Here is a 10,985-nt window from a genome sequence, read left to right as displayed (position 1 = left end):
CTGTGAAAAATTTAAAAGAATTCTTATGTAAATCACTAGCAGAAAGTCTTCCAATGAGAGATCCAATTTTTATGAATTTTAAGATTTCAGTGCTATTGGAGAAACTCAGTACAATTAAAGGAATTAGGAGATAAGAGAGATAAAGATTATTCGAGTTGCAAGAAAATAATAGGCATCAAATGGAGGCATTCTAATTTTCTACCATCAAAAACATAAATATGGGAAGCACTCATTCAATGGCCTAAAATGAGGTGTTGCTTATTTCAAATCATAAATAAATGCAGAAACTTTTACCCTTCTTTTAGTTCTTTCATCCTGTTTCAATTTTCTCTTTTTCAAATAAAGAAACAAATTAATTTATAGGCTTGTGAGGCTCAGTGTGTTTAAGATGTAGCAAGCTCATAAATTCAGTAAGCATATTTATGCTGAAAATTACCAAGTCTAAAGCTGTACATCAAATTCCTTATATGACCCTATAGCCAACTTCCTATTTGATGTCTACTCTTATATTTCCCACTGAAACTTCAAAATCAACATGTTCAAATAAAAATTACCATTTTCTCTCCTTATTTGCTTCATGATCCACAAATCATCTTGAATTCTCTCTTACTAAACAGTATAAAATTTAACTAGTTTTCCATGTCAAAGTCTATTTTTCTTATTTATTTTAATTATTTAATTATTTAAAAATATGTTTATTATTTATTATGTTTTCTAAATATGCTTTGAATTTATCCACACACTTCACATTAAAATATGATCACTATTGTCTCTCTCTCCCAAGTTTTCCATACCCTAATTTAGGAATTTGCTACCTCCAGTCTTTTTTTCTCTCCCATCCACTTGCTACTCAGAAAATATCATGGTCTTACTAAACTCAAACCTAGATCGACTCACTCTTCTACTTTAAATCATTCAACAGTAGATCTATTTGCTTTGAATACAATCCAAATTTCCTAACGTGTATGTTTTCAAAGCCTTTTATAGTATTTCGATGCCAACCAGTCATTGTCTGGTGTCCACTAGCCCCAACCTCCTTCTTTTCTCTTACTCTTACATGCCCTTATGTTACAATCATACCATATTTCTTTTAGTTTTTCAAACAAAGTATGTTTTCTTTCCACTTGGACCTTTATACATGCTATTCCCTCTGGAAAATGAAGCTTAGCTTGAACTTGGGTAACAAGGAGGAGAAGAGGAAATGATTTTGTAATCTTTTTCCATAAAATACTTTGTCCTACTTCACATCCACTAGGACAGTGATATATATATATATTTCATAGATATGTTTCATATATATATATTTCATATATATATGAAAAGGAAAATAACAAGTGAGGATGAGGAGAAATTAGAACCCTGATACATTGGTAGTGGGAATGTAAAATGGTGCAGCCTCTATGGAAAACAGTTTGGGTGTTCCTCAAAAAGTTAAATGTAGAAATACCATTTGACCTAGCAATTCTACTCCTAGGTATATACCCAAGAGAACTGAAACAGGTGTTCACATAAAAACTTGTAAATGGTTGCTTATAAGACCATTATTCATAGTAGCAAAAATAGAAGTAAAAATAAGTAAAATATATATCAACTGATGAATGTGGTATAATTATACAATAAAATATATTCAGCCACAAAAAGGAATAAAGTTTCAATACATGCTGAAATATGAATGAATCTTGAAAATATGTTAAGTGAAAGGAATCAGACAGAAATGGCTGACATGTTGCATAATTTCATTTACATTAAATGTCTAGAAGAGATACATTTGTAGAGACAGGAAGTACGTTAATGCAGGAAAAGGAAGTGGAGAGTGACTAGTTAGTGAATATGGGTTTTCTTTTTGGGGTGATAAAAAGGCCTGAAATTAGACTTTGGTGATGGTTACACAACATTAGAAATGTACTAAAAGCTACTAAATTACATACTTTAAAGTGGAGAATTTTATGTCATGTGAATCTTACCTTAATAAAAGTTAAACAATATGCTCATTATCATGCAAGAAATATATGATGATATATAGAAAATAAGTCAATTTCATTCCAAAATTTTTGTTCTTACCTACTCACTATTCTACCTCAGAATGAGTCAGGATTTCTGTAGCCCAGAGACTTCATTATCACATCCTTTTTGAGTTACATCATTCTAATCCCAGTGTGTCAGGTCTAACTAGAGTCACAAGAGTCATGTGCTAGAGGCTGCTCCCACTGGCTCATGAGAGCCACATGTTAACTTTCAGGACTTTTGCAAGCAGGTCAACATCAAATTGGTAGCTTGAAGTCAGCTATAGTGGAAATATCTACATTTTCTCAATCAGCTGCTCTACAATCAAGCCCCAAGAATTGGCTGTTAAGCATTCATCAGCTTACCACTGGCCATAGTCCTCTTGAAGCCCAATTCACAAGCCTGAGTGTGGCTCAGGCCACGACTGCAGGCCTTATAAGGCTGCACTTGAGCTTCAACCGCTTCACTGGCTCTTTTCTTTTGAACTCTGATTTTTATGTCCCCTTGGTTAGTTTTACCCCAACGACCTTTCATATTCCTAAACTTGATCGTATTTTTGAGAGTAGTTTGATAACACATTATTTTATTGTGATTTAGATATAACTTTTTAAGTATATAGCTTTGTATTACTATAGGGAGTGAAGAAGAAAGGAGAGTGGGAAGAAGATTCAGGAATTAGCATAGGGACAATGGTCACTCAAAATATACAGGGTTGAATTATGTGAAAGTTGAAGATCATTTACATTAGAAGTTTGCACTGAATTATATTGTGTTTTGAAGATTCATTTTATCAATTTCATCTTGAAGGAACACACAAATTATTCTGGACAAGATACACTGTTATTATTCAATTATAAAGACAATAATAACTGTGTGGTCCCCCACAGCTGATTCTTGCTCCTGAGACAATGCAATGAAGGCCAGGTCAAATGTCCTATGGCATGCTATATGCGCATCATAAGCAAAGAATGAAGAAATATATATTTTCTTTGCTCACGAAAGCCAGAGAGACTATTCCCTAGACCCACCCCCATACACATACCTCCCTCCTTCCCAGAATGTTTCCTTAGATATTACCAGGGTATAAATTTTCCAGAAAAAAATAAGACCTTTCTCACAAGCTTCACAACCCCGAAATGTCTCCACACTTCTGAAGTTAGGTAAATCCCTCTGGAGTTCTCTCAATGTCTGTGTAGTTGTAAATTCAATGTCCGAGGCTTGCTGTTAGCCAAGCATCCCAAGTTTTTGGCAAAATTAATCCAAACATCCCCAACACAGGACAAACACAAAAGTAATTCCTCTACTCCCTACAAGATGCCAAGAGTCTGAACAGACAACTGAGAAGAAGGAGGTCCCATAGTTCTGGAGCAAGGTAAAATTTCTTTGAAAATCCTTACAGGGGTTTCTGGAGGATGGGAAGTGCAAAGAGGCATCAGCCAGTCACACCACTTGGTATAGTAGCAGTGCAGATAGAGCAGCCGAATAGTGTGTTGTCATCCTCCATTCAGAGTCAACTGATAGGGAAAAGCTACAGGAGGACACTTCACCATAGCTAAGTGATCCCTGGTGGGAAAAGAAAGAAGGAGGGTGATAGGAGGACTTGGCTGTAGACAAAGGATAAGGTTTTTGCTGTTTTACATTTAACTTTTTATTTTTATTTTTTTATTTTTGAGAATGAGTCTTGCTCTGTGGCTTAGGCTGGAGTGCAGTGGCATGATCTGGGCTCACTGCAACCTCTGCCTCCCGGGTTTGAGCATTTCTCCTGCCTCAGCCTCCCAAATAGTTGGCACTACAGGTGCACGTCACCATGCCCAGCTAATTTTTGTATTTCTAGTAGAGATGAGGTTTCACCATGTTGGCCAGGCTGGTCTGGAACTCCTGACCTCAGGTGATCTACCCGCCTCGGCCTTCCAAAGTGCTGGGATTACAGGCGTGAGCCACTGCACCTGGCCTGAATTTAATTTTGACCATAATGAGAATGAAACCTCATACCAGGAAACATAATCACACTAATAATAATGACACAGCACATTTATAAAAAAGTGATACAATTTTATAACTTCTAAAGCACTTTAATATTCACTTTCTCATTGGATTTTTAAACAACCCTGTGAGAAAGATGTTAAGGAGTTAAAGAAGAGGGGATGCTTAATGCTTAGGAAACTCTCTTAGAACACCCAGCACTCAGGGCAGTTTATATCTCAAAAATGATTGATCTAATTATGTGATCTTTTTTCTCCCAAATCACATATTTATAACACTGTAATATTATATCATATATGTGAATGGCACTATCTAGTATTATCAGATATTCTCGTTTGTTTGCAAATAAAGTTAGATAGAAGGGGAAGCCTCTACCTTTTCCCTATTTTTATCCAATTTGGGGGTTCACTATTTCTAATTGTATTTATAATAGCTGTTCGGGAGGACACAGAGATATCTAAAATTTAAATATTAGAGAAGTGTTATATATTGATTTTACATTTGTTTGGTAGAAGTAGAAATATTATGTTGTCATTAAATACTAAAAAAACCTATCGATATTTAAAATAATAATGTTTATCTCTGTGAATAACAAACCTTTGAGAACCTACTTCCCTTTGAAATAAGAGACTTATATAATTTGCGTCATCCCTATTTCATGAAAAAATACATGGCAAACGTTTCTTATCATCTAATAGGACGCTCCTCCTCTTCTTTAAAAAGCCACAGTAAGATCCAGTCACCCTCAGCAACATTTTCCTTTTGGAGAAAACACAAGGGCAACCCCTTTCTGAATCTGTTTAGTCTTTACTCCATAGATAATTGGGTTCATCATGGGGGGAACAAGAACATAGAGATTGGCCAGCAGGATGTGGACATACTTGGGAAATTTTCAGGCAAAGCGCTGAACAATGACAGTGAAAATTCCTGGAAGGCAGAACATGAGGATGACACTGCCATGGGAACCACAGGTGCTGAGTGCTTTCATCCAAGCACCAAGGGAGGGCAGCCTGAAGACTGCTTGAACTATGAGCCCCTAGGAGATGACTATTGTCACCATATCTAACGTAACACTGAGTAGTGGTACAGAGATTCCATACCAAATATTGATGGTGATTTCAGAACAACCTAGCTTTGCCAGCCCCATGTGTTCACAGAAGGTGTGGGCAATGATGTTTGTCCGGCAGAAGGGCAGACGCTTCACAAGGAAGACGATGGAGAAGACAGTTGCAAAACTCCTGAACACCACGACACCCCCAATTTTGCCAATAACACTGTGGCTAAGGATGGTGCTATACCTCAATGGGTAGCAGATGGCCACATAGCGGTCGAAAGCCATGGTCAAGAGAATGCCTGACTCCGCTACAAAGGCAAAATGCATAAAAAAGAGCTGAGTGACACAGCCACCAAAGGAGATGTCCACATCATCAAACCAGAAAATGCTCAAGGCTTTGGGTACTGCAGATGTGGATAGAATCAGATCCCAAAATGCCAGCATGGAGAGGAAAAGGTACATAGGTTCATGAAGACTGTGCTCCACTGCCACCACACAGACAAGGAGACCATTTCCTGACACAGCCACCAGGTACATCAGACAGAAGGGGATGGAGATCCACACGTGCAGCTCCTTCAGGCCAGGAACGCCAATGAGGACAAACATATCATGATTGGCAGTGGAGTGGTTGGGAGCTGACATGCCAGAATTATGGTAAGGAACTTTCACCACTTTTCTGTCTAATGTGAAAGAAAGTAGAGAGTCAATTGGTCATAATCAATTAGCATATATTTATTAACCCTCAATGAGCTCAGGTTAACAAGTCTTACCTACTCAGTTTTGTTAACTACTGACCTAAATATGTGTAGTATTCAGCCTTGAAGAGAAATATTCTAAAAATTTAAAATAAGATCACATAATTTTAAACAGATGCTTCAAAAGAAAATCCTGAAGCCAGTACTATTTTCTCATAAAATTGACATAAAATTAAAATTATGACCATCCAAAACTGTAAAATCTTTAATAATAATTGTAGTCTGCAACTAAACATTTTAAGAGAGAAAATTATCAATTTTTATAAAGAATATCAGGAAAAAATAGAAACCAAAAGGTTTTTTCTTATTGAATTAAACAATTCTGTTATCTAGCACACACATTTACCTAACCAACTATTAATTGATTAAGCATTTATTGATCATCTATAATATGTACAGAAAAATCAACATGGGCAGGAAAGGGAAAAATGAATGTAAAAGCTTTCAAAACAGAAATCCTTCACATAGAATTATAATGTATGAAAACCATAGTTCTACAATATAGCTGTCTGTCTGTTTCTCTATATAATAAATGAGTATCCATTAATTAAAAATGAATTTTTTTGAAATATTTTATTACATTATTAAGAACTACGAGTACACTTGGGGATGCTGCTATTTGAGAATGGGTGGAGCTGCAGCAGTGGCACAAGATGATTATCTTTCCTGAAATGCAGGATGAGATTCTGAACCAAAGTCTACCCAGACTTTTAAAAACTATTATTTGTATTTCAGTTTTACTTGTTAATACATCTAAACTTCATGACTTTAAAGAAACACTGTCAGAAGTAAGTAGCTTGAGCAATTATCAAAATATAAGTTGTCAGTATAATTGGATATGTATATCAACCACTTATTTAAACTCTTCTTACTTAAAATACATTTAATAATTTCTTTGTTAGTTTTTAATTATGTAAAGGTTTCGTGTGTGTGTGTGCCAGAACCAAATTTGTTTGTTTTACCTTTATTACACTCATGTTCCTGTAGTAGGAGAAGATCTTAACAATCACATCCAGGCCCCTGCATTAAATCCAGGCTTCAAGTGGTTTTTGTTTTGTTTTGGGGTTTATTTTTTTAGGCTAGCAGAATTATGGTTAAAATATTTATTGCCTTCCCCAAAACAAGTAAATTAGGTTTCCGGTTTTCTTTATATCTGCAGAACTGAATTTGAATGAAAAGTGTAAACCAATTTTTTTTTTTTTTGAGACGGAGTCTCGCTCTGTCGCCCAGGCTCTCGTGGCTCGCTGCAAGCTCCGCCGCTCGGGTTCACGCCATTCTCCTGCCTCAGCCTCCTGAGTAACTGGGACTACAGGCGCCTGACACTATGCCCGGCTAATTTTTTGTATAGTTAGTAGAGACGGGGTTTCACCGTGTTAGCTAGGATGGTCTCGATCTCCTGACCTCATGATCTGCCCGCCTCGGCCTCCCAAAGTGCTGGGATTACAGGCGTGAGCCACCGCGCCTGGCAATTTTTTTTTTTTTCTTTAAGGAGCATAGTGTGATTGACTTTCTTCAAATCTTCCCTCCCAGTAATTTTTGTGCAACCACACCCATGCTAAATGGGTTTTATCCCTGAAAAGGGGCCATATAATGAAATACTCTCTAAAGAAGAAAAATAAATCCCCAACCCAGCCATTATTTTAAATAGCTAATTATGTTCATTAAAAAGAAAATTATTGATCATTAGCGAAATGCAAATCAAAACCACAGTAAGACACCATCTAACACCAGTCAGAATGGCTTTTATTAAAAAGTCAAGAAATAACAGATGCTGGCAAGGTTGTGGAGAAAAAGGAACACTTACACCCTGTTGGTGGGAGTGTAAATTAGTTCAGTCAGTGGCGATTCCTCAAAGGCCTAAAAAGACAGAAATACCATTTGACTCAGCAATGCCATCACTGGGTATATATCAAAGGAATAAAAATTGTTCTATTATAGGGACACATGCATGTGTATGTTTATTGCATCACTATTCACAATAGCAAAGCCATGAAATCAACCTAAATGTCCTTCAATAATAGACTGGATAAAGAAAATATACACCATGGAATGCTATGCAGCCATAATAAAGAATGAGATCATGTTTTGCAGGGACATGGATAGAACTGGAGGCTATTATCCTTAGCAAACTAACACAGGAACAAAACTCCAAATACTGTTATTACATATTCTCACTTATAATTGGGAGGTAAACGATAAGAACATAGAGAGGAACAACACACACTGGGTCTACCAGAGGGTGGAGAGAGGGAAAAATAATAGCTAATCGGTACTAGGCTTAATATCTGGTTGAGGAAATAATCTGTACAACAAACCCACATGACACAAGTTTACCTCTGTAACAAACCTGCACTTGTATCCTTGAACGTAAAATAGAAGTTAGAAAAAAAGAAAACTAATTTTCTCATTAACAGATTATCCTGTATCAGGAGAGATTGACTTATATACAAAGGTAGTTTATTTTTATGTAAAATAAATATCATCTAATATTTACCATTTATTGCTAAATTAAAAAATAAGCTAAACACTTTTCCACAGTATCACCTGTATGTGTTGAACAATGGCAATAATGTATATACACATACATGCATAGATAGGATGTCTGGTAGAGAAAACATGGAAATATTAGCTATTGTTATATCTGGGTAGTAAACTAACAGGTGATATTACTTTTTTTTTACTATCTGATAGTTTCTATTTTTCTAATAGAAATTTATTATTTTACTATTTTACTATTACCAAATATATGACAGTAATTTGATGGAATTCATTTTGTTATTAAAGGGAGTGATGAAAATTTTAGACTTTCATTAGAACCACTTTAATTAATATCCCCAACTTCTAGAGGAGTTTACTCAGTATCTTCTAATGAATAACTAAGAATCTGGTTTTTTCTGTTGGACCAGTTCCAGGCTCATGAATCACCTGGAGTTGTCCTTTGATTTTTAAAAATAAGCTGGGCAGTCTGCTATTGATTACTATCACTTGAAATATTGGTTGGTGCCATAAATTGGCATAGCAGCAATTACGGAGTTACGTTTACCAAAGAATAGAAATGTGTGCACAGCAATATGTGATTGTCCTTTATTCCGTATTAAAACATTTCCCTAATATTTCTTAAAGAGCCAAGGCATTTTTCCTATTCACGAAGATCAACTTGGCAAATAATATCTCTGATGTGATGTCTCAAGCTTTTAAAATGGAAGAAGTTATGTGTGTGAGCTCAGACTTCATAGACAAAGCAACCAAGAAGTCTAGATCAACATCTAGCTACCCACAGAGGATAAGATTTGAGAAGTACCCATAGGGTCCCTGTCTTCTCTATCAAGAGCACTGATTCCCCAGACCACTTACTTGGGAGCATCTCTGATCTGGAGTCCTACCTCGAGTTAGAAGACTAGAGCCCCTCTTGAATAGACCCTATTAAAAGCCTGTGTCATTCAGGAGCCCCTGGATGCTGGCATTTTCATCATGCATGGTTCGGTGAATTAGATAATTATAGCTGCAAAATGTCACTGGGGAAGATTCAGAGAGCAAGGTACAGAGGTGGGCATTATTCCTGGGAAAGGGCACAAGAAGGCTGAAAGTTGGAGAAATGTTGCAGGGGACCTGTGGGGAAATTCAGATTCAGAGACTTGAAATCCTGGGTAAAGGTAGCCAAAAATTACACTCTGAAATAAAATTACTTACTTTACTCCTGCCCACTTGGCTAGCCCACAAAGGAAAGGTTTCTTGCAATCTAGGTGGTTACAGTAACTTCCACGTGTCTGTGTGTCCAAGTTCACCAGAAATGTTCTGCTTGCTATCTGTGCAATCTAGCTCACACACTTCCATCCATTCCTTCAACCACAGATGGGAGACTCCCACTGCGCTGCAGACACGATGAGCCTGAGAGCATTTATGGCTCCTAAGAAAGTCCCAGTGGAGTGACCTCTGGGACTTGTTTCCTGCCCCTGTCTCCAGCTAAACAGCACACAGGGACAAGTGAGCAAAGAAGAAAACAGTAAACTTCTTTTCTGTTTAACTGGCAATAACACCTTGAGTGTCTGTGTACTGAGCAGTGAGCCCCATAGAGGTGCCTAGGATGCAACATTAAAGGAAGCACTTAAAACCCTGAGAGTGAGTCCTTTGTTCCTTAAATGTTGCACTCTAGGCATTTCCCCCAATTCCAGCCCTGGAGGAAGCATTATTTAATTCATCCCTTTTAGCATGTATCATCATTTCTCCCTGGACTACAGGGAAATTCTCAAACTCATTCTGTTTCTAAAACTTCATTTCAATTGCATCTTACTTCATTCCAACAGCAAGTCTACACAGCAGCCAGAATGCAGTTTTCAATATGTCAATTTCATTCTGTCACACTCCCAAGTAAAATCCTCTATCAGCCCCCTCCCTCCCTTAGTCTTCAGGATAAGATTCAAGTTCTGAATCAGAAAGTACAAGTTCTTGTTTACTTCTCCAAACTCATCTGACCTTCCTCTTCTTTTCTCTCAGTCTCAGCATATCTAGGGTGCTGTCCATATCGGGGTGCATACAATTCCCCAAATCTCACAATATTCTCACTTAATCCTTCACATTTGAAATAATGTCTTCTCTGCCTAGCGTATCCCTATTCCTGTCATTTGCCTTGAGAATTTCTCTTTTTCCTTCAAAACACAGCTCCAATATAAGATTCTTGACCATCCTGCCCTCTTTCCTAATTGCATAGTATCTTCTCTGTGCCCACACAGATCCTTGTGCTTTTTGAGGTTACATATTATTTGTCACTCTGCAGTGGAATTGCCTCCTTCTGTGTGTATTTCCCTACTAATCCGTGATCTCCTTGAGGACAGTTAAAAAAAAAAGTCTTAGTCATATCTGCATCCACAGTGCTTGTTACACAGTAGAATAAAATACAAAATTAAATTAAAACTTAAAAAAAGATCACTATGTAATGTACTAAACAATGTACAAAGTGCATTGCTTATAACATTGCAATCAATCCTCAAACCCTGTGAGGTAGCTTAGATCTTCATACACACATGAGGAAACAGAATCTTGGAGTGGTTAAATAAATTTCCCAATTTCATCTAAAGAGAACTGATGGAGTTGGTGTATGGCAGCCAGGAGTGTCTGGCCTCCAGCTCTTTCCTCGTAACCGTCTATACTGTCCTGTAGACTGCCTCAACAAATGGTGGTTGGACAAATGC

The 10,985-nt window shown here is 37.0% G+C and overlaps 1 pseudogene, besides 1 other annotated feature; it reads right to left on the bottom strand.

The window, feature by feature from the left end:
* On the bottom strand, window positions 4,739–5,683 carry OR52B5P (olfactory receptor family 52 subfamily B member 5 pseudogene; annotated as a pseudogene).
* Window positions 9,627–10,191: an enhancer, noted in NCBI's record as "OCT4-NANOG hESC enhancer chr11:5577689-5578253 (GRCh37/hg19 assembly coordinates)". NCBI's record gives its function as "activates a minimal SCP1, AML or CMV promoter by ChIP-STARR-seq in primed H9 embryonic stem cells {active_cell/tissue: H9 hESC(primed)}" and the evidence as "EXISTENCE:reporter gene assay evidence [ECO:0000049][PMID:30033119]".

Source organism: Homo sapiens, chromosome 11 (assembly GCF_000001405.40).
Source record: "Homo sapiens chromosome 11, GRCh38.p14 Primary Assembly".
Classification (NCBI taxonomy): Eukaryota; Metazoa; Chordata; class Mammalia; order Primates; family Hominidae; genus Homo; species Homo sapiens.
Note: the sequence above shows the minus strand (reverse complement) of the source record. Positions and strands in the feature narration are given on the sequence as shown.